Raw genomic sequence first — 16,877 nt, 5'->3', positions numbered from 1 at the left:
AAGAGGTCACAGGAAAATGAATAACATTAAAAAATATAGAAGTATTCAAAGGATACACAGCTCAATATTGCCAATTTTAAAGTGTATTTTGTGCTCTAAAACTGCTGGTTTCTCTGTCGCATAAAATGTTCAAGAAAATGCATTTACAACTTGCTTGCCTTAGCGCATGCTGTAGATGTAAAAAAAAAAAAGTATACTATTGATAGGAGGAATTCATAATTTTGGTAAAGTTTGTAACATCTGTTCTGCTAAAAAGAGGCTTCCCCATTGATGTTCAATGTGGTGAAATATTTTGAGCCCCTTAGAGACTCATTGATGTTCCTGGAGTCTGAGGCATCGGCAGTAACCGTGAATGTCTTCGTTCATTTGTAAAGTGCTCCAGCCAGAAAATTAAGCTGCAAGATGAAGATCTTGCTTCAGTGATCCATACTCTTGACATATTCAGCCTTTCAACCTGGTATATTTCAAACCTCTTTATTTGAATCTCTCCAGGGAAGCCAGTCAAAGAATAAAAATGGCCCATAAAGCAGACTGGCTTTTGAATTGAGCAAACAGCATTCTGCAGTGATTTTCTTTACCCTTTGCTCATTGCCAGGACACTTTCAAATATAAGAAAGGGCTTTCTTCTCATTTTCAAAGCATCACACAAGATGAACCCCAGCTTCTTCAAACAGCATCAAACTTCAGACCATTATATTAGAATCCGGAATAGTATTGAACCAAAATGACATAAAATTCCTAGAATCCCAGGTTTTGGAACTTTCTATTAAAAAGTATGAGAAAAAGGGAGAGCAAAAACTTCTCACACACTAAAACAAGTACCACAGAAAAACAGTGAGCTTCGACTAGTGTGTACTAAATATAAATTACTTATTTTAGAAATAATGCTAAGGTTAGACATTTTGGTATTTATAAAATTTTAACCATAGTAAATATGTTTATCTCACATATGACATATCAGGGTATAAAACATCACCCAGTTTGAAAACTGTGCCATCGATTACGTGCAGAATACTATAAAATGTTTTATGTTATATTACATACTTTATTTTATTTTTTTTGAGACAGAATCTCGCTCTGTCATCCAGGCTGGAGTGCAGTGGCACAATATTGGCTCACTGCAACTTCTTCCTCCCAGGTTCTAGTGATTCTCGTGCCTCAGCCTCTCCAGTAGCTGGGACTACAAGCTTGTACCACCATGAAGGGCTAATTTTTGCATTTTTAGTACAGACGAGGTTTCGCCATGTTAGCCAGGCTAGTATTGAACTCCTGACCTCAAGCAATCCACCTGCCTCAGCCTCCCAACATGCTGGGATTACAGGCATGTGCCATCATGCCTGCTTTGTTATATTATATACTTTTATAATATAGGTGTTACACATCTGTACATATATAAATATATATTGCAGGGAATATTGAGAACAAAAGTCAATGCTCTACTTTTATATCAGATTATAAGCTATCAATAATGAAATGTCTCTGAATTTATTCTGTATACCAAAACTATGCTAGGCACAGTGAGGTTGTGTGTAAATACAAAGGGTTGAGTTGCCACGCTGATTTTTGAAAATTATATATGTTATACAACGTCAAACTTTACTAATGACTTCGAGGACACAAGACAGAATCAAGTACAGTTGTAACAATTTCAGGTGAAGTGTCAATCCATCAAACATAGTTTTCAAAACACATCATTTCTCCCATATTATAGATTGTTTTTGGATTCAGATAGATAAGTTCTAAACTATGTATGCAGAAACATTGTTTATAAAGAAAGCTATTTTGTTTTGAGAACTCCTTTTTATATAATTCATTAGTTACACATGTAGAAGAATACATTTTACTCCCTATTTTCCAGCCAGCCAAGCAACATAAACGTGTAGGTTTATTTATAATAAGTGATCTAGACAGACAAGTTATGTCATTCTAAGAAGAAACCTCCACATCCCCTGCTAGCAAATCATATTTGCATGTTTATAAGCAGATCTAGTCAAGACTATTCAAATGTCTCCCTTGTAGCAAAGGGTGAATTACTGGCTGAAATTAGCCCTTTTCTTTCCACAGGGGAAAAAATATATATATATGTATATAAGATAAAGTACTTATGAATAAAGGTTTTAAAAGTTACAATACTCATGTTTTTAAATTATGTGCATGGAAATATAGACATGAAATATAGATAAATCAATTAACTAACACAGATTTATGTATTATTTTAATACTGTAATAATAAAGTGCTAAATATTATATAAATACAAGTTGAAAAGAGAACAATAAATATTAACATGACACATGTTATAAAGAAAACATACAAATAATTGAAAGAGGGAAAGTTATTTTCTCCAGGAACAATTCATCGTTGATTGAACAACTTCTATGACCAGGCAATATCAGATAATAGATTTATACCCAGAAACACTTGAAATAGGAGCTTGAATATGATGCTAGGCATCAAAGGATGCATATGACTCAGGCAGAGAGAAAGATATGCAGGCAAAATAAAGATGTATGTCTGTATGTGTGTTGATAATGCATGATAGGAAGAATATAGTGAAGATCTAAACTTACTGGAATGAGGTAACTGGCATTAGAAGTAGAATAAAATTATACAAGTAATGTGGCACTAGATCGTGAAGGAACCTGATAATTATACTAAAAAATTGATATTTTTTGTAATCAAAGTTAGAGAATAATATGTATGATTTTCAGCAGGGGCTTACCATGACAGTTGTGGTGTTTAATTGGCAGCTTTTTGTTTTGTTTTCAGTTTTTGGAATAGAGATTGTATGAGATCACTTTGAAGACAAAAAGTGTTGCTAATAGCAACAGGTGTTAGGTAAGAAGAGTTTGCTTAAGGACTAAATCCAGAGATATTGAGAAGGAAAGATGGACAGATTTTAGGTTGTGGTTTAATATAGAGCAGAAGGAAAGGCAACGGTGACTTCAAGTTTCTAGATTTTCAGTGTTAAGGAAAGCAGAAGGTAAGCAGAATCTATGGATGGATCAATAAGGCCAAGATGTGTATATTTAAGAACTGCCCTTTGGGGTAATATATTTGTAAAAGAGTCTACCAAATAAACTAGGAGAGATAGTCCTCAAAGCTGTTCATGAGGATATTGAGTCAAAGTCATACTATGGGAAACAGAAAAACATGCAATGTTCTGAAATCAGAGGAAGATTTAATAATGGAGTGAACAGTGAGATTAATAAATACAGTAGCGGAGTATACTGCAAAGAATGAAGTATAAAAAGTAGGATAATTCAGAAAATTAAGTTTGAATAGAAAATGAGACTGGGGGCAGCCTTCAAATAATGGACCCTAGAATGGGCCAGTGAAATGGAGATGACTTCAGAGAGTATCATCATGAATTGAATATTGAGGATTCCAGATTTGTCAGTTAATGAGAGAGAAGTTAATGAAGTCATATTAGAGGATGCATTTCTCACAGCAGCAAGAATGACGTTGGAAGAGTGGAAGAAAGGGCCTATGTCTGAGCGATTCCCATAATGCCAACTACCAGAAAAAAAGAAGAGCCAGGAAAACAGAATAAGAGGAATCATTGAGTCCTATCATCCATACAATGTAAATATGTATATTTTTAAACATTTGTTATAAAACTGAATCCCATAAGAAATATTGCTAATTCCCTGAGGACCTAAATCCTTGGGAGAGGCTCAGGAGGTCCACAGAAGCCATCAGGGCTGCTTTACTTTTACATTAGTTACTGAGTGAGGATATATGACATGAGAGTAACCAAAATAAGAATTTTGGCTTTTGAATTTAGACAGTTGTTCGATGATCTGTTGAGTGGATTCAAGGTCAGAGAGGACTAAAAATATACAGGTTTTTTTGAGAGATATTTTAAGTAGTTTTATTTCGAAGGATCCCATCTTAGTTTAAAATAAATGATTTTTAAGTAGATTTTGTCATAAAAATTAGAAAAATTACTTAATTTCTCATTACATCTACGTAGCCTTAAAGTTTAGGTGAACATGAAATTAATAGTGTCTATCAACTGAACATGTTTTCAAAGAAAACAGAATTAAAAGTGTGTGTGTGCTTTCATAGACATAAAATAAACCTTGCATTTTAAACTCTACATTTTGCTAAATTATATATATATTTATGTTCATTGATCCATCACCACAGTCAGAATAATGGGCACAGAAATCATCCCAAAGTTTCCTCATGTCTTTTCATAATTCTTCCTTCAACCCTTCCCCTCCCTCTTCCCCCACCTAGCCCAAGGGAACAACTGATTTATTTTCTATCACAATACATTCCTTTGCATTTTCTGGAATTTTATATAAATAGCATTATTTTGAGGTGATGGATCTGGTCACACTTGATATCTTAAAAATATTTTATCTTCTGACATATGAACATGCTATGTATCGTCATTTATTTAGATCTTTTAAAAATATCTTTCAGCAATGTTTTTTCATTTTCATACCCATGTCTATAACAACTATTATAACATTTATCCTTGAGTGTTTCATGATATTGGTGCTACTGAAAACACTATGTTTTTACTGAATTTTCAATTGTTCTTTGTTATTATTTAAAAATACAATTGATTTCTGTACTTTTGTATCTTGTAATGTTACTAAACTCATTAGTTCTAGTGGATATCTTGTAGTTTCTATCAAATTTCCTGCACAATCAATTATCTAGCCCACAAATAAGAGAAAATTTTACTCCTCTCTTTCTAATCTATATGCTCTTAAAATATCTTATTTTCTTATTTCACTGTCTACGATCTCCAACATAAAGCTAAATAGAAGTAGTGAGGGCGGATATCCCTGACTTGCTATTTATATTAGCAGAAAATATTCAGACTTTCACCATTATATATGGAGTTAGCTGTAGGGATGTTTTTGTAGATATTCTTTCACCATTATATGTGGAGTTAGTGGTAGAGATTTTTTTCGTAAGGGAATTTAGGAAGTTCCCCTATATTTCTAGTTTACGGAAATTTTATTAGAAATCAGTAAAATCTAGATTTGGACAAATGCTCATATTAATATCTGTCCTTTGTTATTGCAGTGAATTATATTGATTGATTTTTAATTGTTAAACTCTGCCTCATGGAATAATCCCCACATGCTCGTGACGATTATCTCCTTTATATATGTTAGATTATAACTGCCAAAATTTTATTCAGAATCTTTATATCTACCTTCATGAGAGATACTGATATGCAGTTTTACTTGCAATATCATTCTATGTTTATATGTGTATAATGATGGCTTCATGAAATGAGTTGGGAAATATTTCTAATTCTTCAGTTTTCCAGAAAACTTTGTGTAGAATAATATTATTTATTTCTTAAATATGTCATAAAATTCACAAATGAAGACATCCTGGCCAAGAGTTTTCTTTGTTGAGAGGCTTTTAACTATAATTTGATTGCACTAATTTAGACTATTAATTTATTTCTTTTTTTGGTTTCCTGTCTTTCAAAGAGTTTGTTCTTTTCATCCAAGTTATGGAATTTATTAGCCTAAAATGGTTCATTTTCTTATTATCTTTTTAATCTATATAGAAGCAGCAATTATATTATTTCTATTATTTCTGATATTAGTAAGTATATTATCTTCTTTTTTACCCATTTCAGTCTGATCTGATATTTGTCAGTTGTTATTGATCTGCTCAAAGAACAAGTTTTTAGTTTCATAGATTTTTCTCTATTTTTTTCTATTTCATTAATATTTGCTTAAACCTTTATTATTTATTTTCTTCTACTTGCTTGATTTAAAATTTTTCATTTTCTCCTAGATGCTAGGTCTTTAATTTAAGCTTTCTTACTTTATAGGCCTTTATTAGTATATATTTCTCCCAATAACTCTTTTAGTAGTAATCTACAATTTCAGATAGATTATGAATTTATTTACATTTCTTCAAGAATGCATTCTGTTTTTTAAAATTCATTCTATGACTCTATTTATATTATTTAGTTTCTAAACATTTAAAGATTTTCAAGAATTTTTCCTGCTATTGATTTCTAATTTATTCTACCAGTGATCAGAAAACATAATTTGTATGACTTGAATCTTTTGAATTTATTGAGACTTCTTTTATGATGGAAAATATGAGGGATATTGATAAATGTTTAGTGAGTACTTGTATCCCGCTCTTGTTTAGTGGAATATTCCACAATTGTCAATTACATCAGGCTTATTGGCAGTGTAGATGACATCATCCATATACTTACTGATTTTCTGTCGACTTCCCTTATCGAATGTTGATATGGTGCATTGATATCTGATTATAAAATAGATAAGCTTTAGACTTATCTATTTTTAATTGCAGTTAGAACAGTTTTTGTTTAATATAATATATTCTGAGGCTCTGTTATTTGGATGCATATTCATTTATCATCCTTATATGCTGTTGATGAGTTTATGATGCAGAATATGGTAGATTTGGTAAATGTTCAGTGAATGTTTATAAAGTGTTTCCTGCTGTTATCAGGTAGAATTTTATCACTTTATCAATATGAAATGACTTCCTTTATCCCTAATGCTACCCTTTACTCTGAAATTTAATTTTTATATTAATATAGCCACTGCAGCCCTCTTTTCCTTAGTATTAGCATATTTTTTCTTTTTCAATCAATTTACTTTCAGATTGTTTGTTTCCTTATATTTGAAGTACATTTCTTGTAGACTATATATTGAGTATTGCTTTGTTATATAATATATCTCGGCCTTTTAATCGAGAATATTTAGACCATTTATAGTTTACATGATTCTTGATATGGTTTAGTTTAAATTTATCATCCAGCTATTGACGTACATTTGACTCATCTGTTCTTTTTCTTTAACTTTCTCCTGTTTTTCTGCCTGCCTTTGGATTAATTGATTTTTTATGATTATTTTATTTTATTTGCTGTTTTCTTATTACTGTAACTCTACCTTTTATTATTCAAGTGGTTGCTTATAGATTTATAGTATATATTTAAGTTTATAGTATATATCTTTAAGTTATCACTATCTACTAGTGAACGTACACTACTTTGCCTATATAAGAACATGAAAAATGCATATTTCCATTGCTCTCCTCCCAACTTTTGTGCTGTTATTGTAATATGTTTTTCTTTTATGTAAATTATAAGCCTCTGACTGCATTTCTATTATTTTCATTTAAACAGTTAATAAACTTTGTAAAAGATTAACTAGACAAAATCTTATATATTACTCATTAAGTCACAATTTGTGGTTCTCATGAATTTTGTTTTCACTACTGGGTTCATTTTTATTGATTTATTTTCTCCTCTTTATGTATTACATTTTCCTGCATTCTTTAGAAAAAATCTTGTATATTACTCATTAAGTCACCATTTGTGGTATTCATGAATTTTGTTTTCACTTCTGGGTTGATTTTGAAGTTATTTTCTCCTCATTATGTATTACATTTTCCTGCATTTTGCATGTCGGTCTAGCAGGCGCTAGACATTCTGTATTTCACCTTCTTAGATGTAGAATATGTTTGTATTCCAATAAATATTCTTGAGCGTTGTTTTGGAATGCAGTTAAGCTACTTAAAAATAGTTTGATCTTTCTAGTATGGTCTCTAAGATATTTTAAGTGGGATAGGAACAGTGTTCAATTTAGGGCTAATTATTCTCCACTACAGAGATAAGATATTTTTATATAATCTGTCCAATTATGAGATTTTCCAATCTTGTGTGAGTATCAGGCACTGCTTTCTTTGAGTGTTCCTCCAATCCTCAGCTTTGTTTAGTTTTCTCAAATTCACATGCTGATCGCATTCAGCAAAATATTCAATGGAGAGCCTCTGCCAATCTTCAGCGTTTGCGGTTCTCTCCTCACCAGCTTTCTGTCTTCTGAATTGTAGTCACTTTGTTTTACCTGGAATCTCATAACTCTCCTCAACTCATGGACTCTGCTGGACTCTACCTGATTCTCCTTTTCTTAACTGTGATCTAGAAACTCTCTCATGGCAATGAGCTGAATTAATTCATCAATTCTACATTAATAAAAAAGTATATATATAAAAAACATTCTTTTTCTCAAGAAGGTTACTCAATGACATTGAAAAAATATATAGATAAAAATTATAAGAGAATATGACAAATTCTATGACTAATGCATGCCAAGGATGCATGGGAGAACTGGGTGCCTAATTTATATTTCTGGGTCAAGAAATGATTTTTGGAGGAGTATTGAGCTGAGTCTTAAAAGACAAGCATTGGAGAAGAAAGAGAGTGAGGAAGAGATGTTTTATAAAGGGTGATTAACGTGTTCAGAACCATAGAGGTGAAATACATTTGATATGGCTAGTGTATTAATTGCATTTGGAGAAACAACATGATATGAAGCCTTGGAGGGAGCAGTAGTCAGAAAAAGAACTATGTGCTAAAATATTAGTCTATATGTTAATAATTCATCCTAAAAGTTTTGAGGAACCAGTAACAACTTTAAGGAGGAGAATAAAATAACAAAATTTACATTTTGTGATATTATTATGGAATTAAAAATGATTAAGACCCTAGTGTGAGAATTAAGTAGGAAGCTTTTGTAGTAGTGCAGTGATGAGACATAAACAGACTGCTAAGGCATTGTAAATATTAGGAAAGAAATAGAATTGAAATGTAATAAGAGTAGAAATAGACAGGATTTGGTGAAAAACTGAATTTGGATAGTAGAGCAAAGGAAGAAATGGCTTAGGAGACCAAATAGATGAGGGTACCATTCATGGAAACAGACACTAAGGAAAGGGGCAGGGTGCTGTGGAAGGAAGACAAGCAATTCTGACCTGCTTGGTAGATTTAGAGTTACCTTCATGGAACTCCTAAGCCCTTCTTACTTGCTGGTAAAATATTCTTTCCTGACAAAACACAGTAGCTTTACAAGTGTTTCTATAGAAGTATCCCGAAATTTCACTGGGTTCTAGCAATTGGAGCTGCTATGGGATTAACAGGAAGACACCCCTCACTCTATAAAGAATCATGGAGGAGAAATTGCTGTATTAGTCAGGGTTCTGTAGAGGGACAAAATTAATGGGATTTTATATATATATATATATACACACACACACACACATTTAATAAACTATATATTATATGTAATATATTATATTAATATATTATATATACTATATAATAATATATTGTATATTATATATAACAATATATTTATATATTATGTGTTATACATTATATTATATCAACATATACATTAATATTATATATTAATATATTAATATCATGTATTATATATAATATTATAATACATATATAGTAATATAATATATAATATATCAATATAAGATAAGATAACATATAAAATATTATATATTATATTAATATATAATATATAAAATATGTGTTGTATTAATATAATATATGTATTAAGTGTATATATGTACTTAATAAACTACACACACACACACACACACACACACACACACATATATATATATATAGAGAGAGAGAGAGAGAGAGGGAGTTTATTAAGTATTAACTCACATGATCAAAAGGTCCCACAACACGCTATCTGCAGGCTAAGGAGCAAGGAGAGTCAGTCGGGTTTCCAAAACTGAAGAACTTGGGGTCTGATGTTCGAGGGAAGGAAGCATCCAGCATGGGAGAAATATGTAGGCTGGGAGGCTAGGCCAATCTCTCTTTTCACATTTTCTGCCTTCTTATATTCTAGCTTACATTCTAGCTGCTCTGGCAACTGATTAGATTGTGCACACCCAGATTAAGGGTGGGTCTGTCTTTCCCAGTGCACTGACTCAAATGTTAATCTCCTTTAGCAACACTCTCACAGACACACCAGGATCAATACTCTGCAAACTTCAATCCAATCAAGTTGACACACAGTATTAAGGATCATAAGTCTACTCCTTGTCAACTCAAACTCATACACATCTCCTGAGATCATACATAATCTTAAAACAAAGACAATAATAAGGTCATAATTATGCCTACCATAACACAACTATCCTTCATACAATCGGAAATGCACCAATCTCCAACACAAATACTATTACATAAAGTTAATAATACTTAAATGCTGATGTGAAGTCAATAAATCTTATGTCACATGATAAAGGGGAAAGCAAATAAAATGAAGATATTTTCTTAGAACAAGTGTATACATGCAGAAACATGTATTTAACAAAAGAAGGAGGAACTACTCATGACAATTACAATCCTTGTTTCTGCAGTGGTCAGGTGGTTGTAGCTGGTATTAATGACTACCTCTTCTATTACCCATTCCATATTCCCTTTGCCTTCAGCAAGCACCTCAGCAGGCCATGGTTGTTTTTTTTTGTCTTTTGTTTGTTTTTTGTTTTTTCCTAGTGGAGTGATGCAAACCTTCATTCCTGAAGGGTCTAGGTCATTTGTAGTCCTGCCTGGATTTGGCTGTTGTAGTTTCCCATTAACCTTAATCACAGGGCATGGTAATACTAAGAGATGCCCTAATGGATCTCCTGTATTCCATGAATACTCTTTCTTACTGATCTTGTTTGTCTGCATCCCCATTTAAATCTCAACTTGAATTGCACGTCCCGAATTTCCACATGTTATGGGAGGGATCTAGGGAGAGGTAATTGAATCATGGGGACCAGTCTTTCCCGTGCTAGTCTCATGATAGTGAACAAGTCTCACGAGAAACGATGGGTTTATCAGGGGTTTCCGCTTGTGCTTCTTCCTCATTTTCTCTTGCCACCGATGTGTAAGAAGCGCTTTTCACCTTCTGCCATGATTCTGAGGCCTTCTCAGCCATGTGGAATTGTAAGTCCAATTAAACCTCTTTTTCTTCTCAGTCTCTGGTATGTCTTTATCACCTGTGTGAAAACAGACTAATACACTTACCTCTGTTGTGGAGTTATAGACCGATTTCAACTTGATAGTCCAAGTCAATCACCACAGCCAACACTGTAATTCCTTCTTAGCCTGTTGACTTAAAGGAATGAGGAGCCCAAAGTGTCCAAGTGGCCATCTTATCTTCCAGTTTAATGGAATCTTGTTATGTCTCCTGGTGGCAGTGTTTCTCCCTCTGGAACTAAGACCTCTAGGCCAGCAGAACATAATGTCATGGGAATAGGAAGCACAAATTTTGCTAGTGGATCACTGGGGTGATGGTGAGTGGTGCCACTTCCACTTCTACCCCTTGATTCCAGGACCCATGAATCCTGGCTATGGGAGAAACAGTGCCATATATTGGATGCTGATTGAGAGCATGCACAGCCTTCTGGAGAACATTGGCCCAGCCCTGGAAAGTATTGTCACCTAGTTGGCATTGTAATTGTGACTTGAAAAGGCCCTCCCACCATTCTATCAATCCAGTTGCTTCAGGATGATGGGGAACATGGTAAGACTAGTGAATTCCATGAGCAAGAGCCCACTGCCACACTTCTTTAGCGTAAAGTGTGTGCCTTGGTCAGAGGCCATTCTGTATGGAGTACCAATATGTGGATAAGGCATTCCGTGAGTCTGTGGATGGTAGTCTTGGCAGAAGCACTGTGTGCAGAATGGGCAAACCCATAGGAATAGTGTCTATTCCAGTGAGTACAAACCTCTGCCCTTTCCATGATTAAAGAAATCTAATATAATCAACCTGCTGCCAGGTAGTTGGCTGATCAACTCAAGGAATGGTACCATACTGAGGGCTCAGTGTTGGGCTCTGCTGCTGGCAAATTGGGCACTCATTAGTGGTCATAGCTAGGTCAGCCTTGGTGAGTGGAAGTCCATGTTGCTGAGCCCATGAGTAACCTCCACCCCTGCAATCATGGCCACTTCGTTCATGGACCCATTGGACAATGACAAGGGTGGCTGGGGAAAGAGGCTGAGTGGTGTCCACAGAACGTGTCATCCTATCCACTTGATTATTGAAATCCTCCTCTGCTCACATAACCTGTTGGTGAGCACTCACATGGGATACAAATATCTTCACAGTTTTTGACCACTCAGAGAAGTCCGTCCACATACCTCTTTCCCAAATTTCTTTGTCACCAATTTTCTAATCACGCTTCTTCCAAGTTCCTGGTCATCCAGCTAAACTATTGACTACGGCTCATTAATTAGTATATAATCACACATCTGGCCATTTCTCTTTCCATGCAAAGTTTACAACCTGGTGCACTGCTTGAAGTTCTGACAACTGGGAAGATTTTCCTTCACTAGTGTCCTTCAGGGATGTACTAGAAAGGGGCTGTAGTGCTGCAGCTGTCCACTTTCAGGTGGTGCCTGCATATCATGCAGAACCATCTGTGATCCAGGCCATATCGTGAAAATGGCCATACTGCCCGAGGTAATTTATAGATTCAATGCTATCTCCATCCATAAGGCCAACCAGAAGCAATTTGTCTTCAACTGGAAAGTCCAGCATTGTACATTTTCTATCCTACCTCAGGGGTATATCAACTCTCCAGCTTTGTGTCATAATCTTATTCGGAGACAACTTGATCTCTTTTCACTTCTGCAAGATATCACATTGGTCCATTACACTGATGACATTATGCTGATTGGATCCAGTGAGTAAGAAGTAGAAAACACACTGGACTTATTGGTGAAACATTTGCATGCCAGAGGATGGGATATAAATCCAACTAAAATTCAGAGACCTTCTACCTCAGTAAAATTTCTAGTGGTCCAGTGGTGTGGGGCCTGTCAAGATATTCCTTCTAAGGTATATCTTGTCTTCTCTTTATCTGTCAACTGATCATAAGAAATTCCCCATTAGGCCATGGTGCAGGCTGGGGGAGAAGGCAGAGTGGAGGCCATGGGCACTTGAGCCACTTCCTCATGTAACTTGCTTATGCCTTCAGGACCTGCTTGAGCCTGATCATGTATATACCACTTCCATTTGATGATGGAATGCTGCTGCGCATGACCCACTTTATGGCTAGATGAGTCAGAAAGCACCCAGTTCATGATAGGCAGTTCAGGTCACATGGTGACTTTATGACACATAGTCAAACTTTCAGTTTCCACCAAAGCCCAGTAACAGAAAAAGAGCTGTCTCTCAAAGGGAGAATAGTTATCTACAGAAGATGGCAGGGCCTCGCTCAAAAATCCTAGAGGCGTCCACTGTGATTCACTTATGGGAGACTGCCAAACGCTCCAAACAGCATCCCTATCTGCCACTTATATCTCAAGCACCATTGAATCTGCCGATCATATGGCCCAAGTGGCAGAGCAGCTTGCACAGCAGCCTGGACCTATTGCAGAGCCTTCTGCTGTTCTGGACCCCACTCAAAACTGGCAGGCTTTCGGGTCACTGGATAAATGGGCCAGAGTAACACCCCCAAATGACTAATGTGTTGCCTCCAAAATCCAAATAGGCCCACTAGGCATTGTGCCTCTTTCTTGGTTGTAGGAGGGGCCAAATGAAGCAACTTATCTTTTACCTTAGAAGGAATATCTTGACAGGCCCCACACCACTGGACCACTAGAAATTTTACTGAGGTAGAAGGTCTCTGAATTTTAGTTGGATTTATATCCCATCCTCTGGCATGCAAATGTTTCACCAATAAGTCCAGTGTGTTTTCTACTTCTTACTCACTGGATCCAATCAGCATAATGTCATCAGTGTAATGGACCAATGTGATATCTTGCAGAAGTGAAAAGAGATCAAGTTGTCTCTGAATAAGATTATGACACAAAGCTGGAGAGTTGATATACCCCTGAGGTAGGATAGAAAATGTATAATGCTGGACTTTCCAGTTGAAGACAAATTGCTTCTGGTTGGCCTTATGGATGGAGATGGCATTGAATCTATAAATTACCTCGGGCAGTATGGCCATTTTCACGATATTAATTCTTCCTACCCATGAGCATGGAATGTTCTTCCATTTGTTTGTATCCTCTTTTATTTCATTGAGCAGTGGTTTGTAGTTCTCCTTGAAGAGGTCCTTCACATCCCTTGTAAGTTGGATTCCTAGGTATTTTGTTCTCTTTGAAGCAATTGTGAATGGGAGTTCACTCATGATTTGGCTCTCTGTTTGTCTTTTGTTGATGTATAAGAATGCTTGTGATTTTTGTACATTGATTTTGTATCCTGAGACTTTGCTGAAGTTGCCTATCAGCTTAAGGAGACTTTGGGTGAAGGACATGAACAGACACTTCTCAAAAGAAGACATTTATGCAGCCAAAAAACACATGAAAAAATGCTCCCTGGCGATTCCTCAGGGATCTAGAACTAGAAATACCATTTGACCCAGCCATCCCATTACCGGGTATATACCCAAAGGACTATAAATCATGCTGCTATAAAGACACATGCACACGTATATTTATTGCGGCACTATTCACAATAGCAAAGACTTGGAACCAACCCAAATGTCCAACAATGATAGACTGGATTAAGAAAATGTGGCACATATACACCATGGAATACTATGCAGCCATGAAAAATGATGAGTTCATGTCCTTTGTAGGGACATGGATGAAATTGGAAATCATCATTCTCAGTAAACTATCACAAGGACAAAAAACCAAACACCGCATATTCTCACTCATAGGTGGGAATTGAACAATGAGAACACATGGACACAGGAAGGGGAATATCACACTCTGGGGACTGTTGTGGGGTGGGGGGAGGGGGGAGGGATAGCATTAAGAGATACACCTAATGCTAAATGATGAGTTAATGGGTGCAGCACAGCAGCATGGCACATGTATACATATGTAACTAACCTGCACATTGTGCACATGTACCCTAAAACTTAAAGTATAATAATAATAAAATAAAATAAAAGACAATCGGGGCAATCTTAACAGATTTGAGGCTGAGTATCTGCTTCTGAAGCCGGCAGATAGAATTCCTGAGTTCATAATTTTCTTTTATCACTTTCTCTACTGAACTTGGGAGCAACCAACCAGCTTCATTATATTCCTTGTTTCTCCACATATGATCAAAGCTATTGTGGATAGACAGACTAAACTCCTCACCTCTCACAAGTGATGATTCAGGAGTGTCAAATGCATTTATCTTGCATAACTCTCTAAACAATTCACACCAAGAACTATCAGTGCTCTCCATACTATTAGAAGTAGGGCCCTTAGCATTTTTGGGTCTAATCATATTAAGCAGCCAACTCCAGAAACCCCAAAACCAACTAAAGAACTTCATCCTTAATATTCTGTTCCTCAAGAACCACTCCTGGTACCAAAATCTGTATTAGTTGGAGTTCTCTATTAGGGACAACACTAACGGAATATATATATATAAATAAAATATATATATAAAATATTGATATATATGAGAATATATATATTTGTGTGTGTATATATGTGCACATGTATATGTGTGTGCATGTGTGTGTGTATATATATATGTATATGAGAGTTATTAAGTATTAACTCACACAATCACGAGGTCCCACAATAGTCGGTCTGCAGGCTGAGGAGCAAGGAGAGTCAGTTTGAGTTCCAAAACTGAAGAACTCACAGTCTGATGTTCAAGAACAGGAAGCATCTGGCACAGGAGAAAGATAAGCTGAGAGGCTAGGCCAGTCTCTCTTTTCATGTTTTTCTGCCTGCTTATATTCTAGCCCTGCTGGCAGCTGATTAGATTGTGCCCCATCCAGATTAAGAGTAAGTCTGTCTTTGCCAGCCCACTGACTTAAATGTCAATTTCCTTTAGCAACACCCTCATAGACACACCCAGGATCAATACTTTGTATCCTTCAATCCCATCAAGTTTACACTCATTATTAACCATAATGGATGCCTTCAACTTTCTCCCTTTGCAACAACCCTATGTCAACACAAGTCTTGGATTTTCAAGTTATGAGGGTCAAATCTGAGAATCAAAGTCAACACTCTTAGATTAAGAAAGATCTCTGGTTTTTGATAACGTATTTGAATTACTTTACCAACATTGAAACTGCTATTGCTCTGGGCATCTTTTTTTCTGTTAGGTAATGCTTATCCACATTATTTACATTACTTTTAATATGATATTTTCTTTCTTTGCTGCTAAAAAATTTCTGATAGAGAGACAAAGGCTGGACACCTGGAAAAGCAGAATATGTTAGACTACAGATTTAAAATACATTAGCGCCTAAATGACAAAGACATTATTCCATATAATACATTATTTAACATCATAAATACACGTTTTGTCTAATCAATGTGATATCTATTCTACTCTCCCTTAGTTTACCTTCCTGTAATAAAGAGATTGGATACATAGAAATTGCATTTTCCAAACTCATCCAGATTCAGGTTTCCACATATGATTTAGGTTTGGCTGATCATATGTGCACACAAAATATTGGAAGACATAAGTGAGATGGAGGCCATATGGCAGCTTCTTTTGCTATTCACCTGGCAAATGTGGGCATTAAGGCACTTGCTTTTGGTGAAATGAAATCAACAGCTGTTCCATAGTTCAATAACTGGCTCCATGAGTGTAGAAACAGGATACAAACACTGGTTTTGCTGGTGCAGCTTCTAGTAGGTACAGTGTGGTTCCAGAGACAAGAACAGAAGCTGTAATTGATTTTTATCATGATAGTGTCCTGATTGTCTATAGGCGTGTGATTTCCGAACTATGGTGGGTTTTTATTTTGTCAGTTTCATTGATTGTGACAGTGTTAGTGTAGTTCTAGAACCTACAAGTTTATGATGTTAAAGGAAAGTTTCTTAGCATACTTGGTATGGTTTGGATAGTTGTTCCTGAAACTTAACCTAGTATCCCTTCTTCAGTCTTCAGTCCCCCTCTACCCCTACTGATTTATTGAGCCTTTTTAATGTTCAACAATAATTCATATCAATAGATCCATAATAGGATATAAAAACATTCTATTAATATCTTTTAATATCCTTAAACAAATTCCCTCTTTCTTAAGCTAGCTAGAATGGAATACCGTTTCCTATAGCTTAACCCTGACT

The sequence above is a fragment of the Homo sapiens genome, chromosome 4, assembly GCF_000001405.40.
Source record: "Homo sapiens chromosome 4, GRCh38.p14 Primary Assembly".
NCBI classification, from domain to species: domain Eukaryota; kingdom Metazoa; phylum Chordata; class Mammalia; order Primates; family Hominidae; genus Homo; species Homo sapiens.
The sequence above is the reverse complement of the archived record's forward strand: the minus strand, read 5'-3'. Positions refer to the sequence as shown.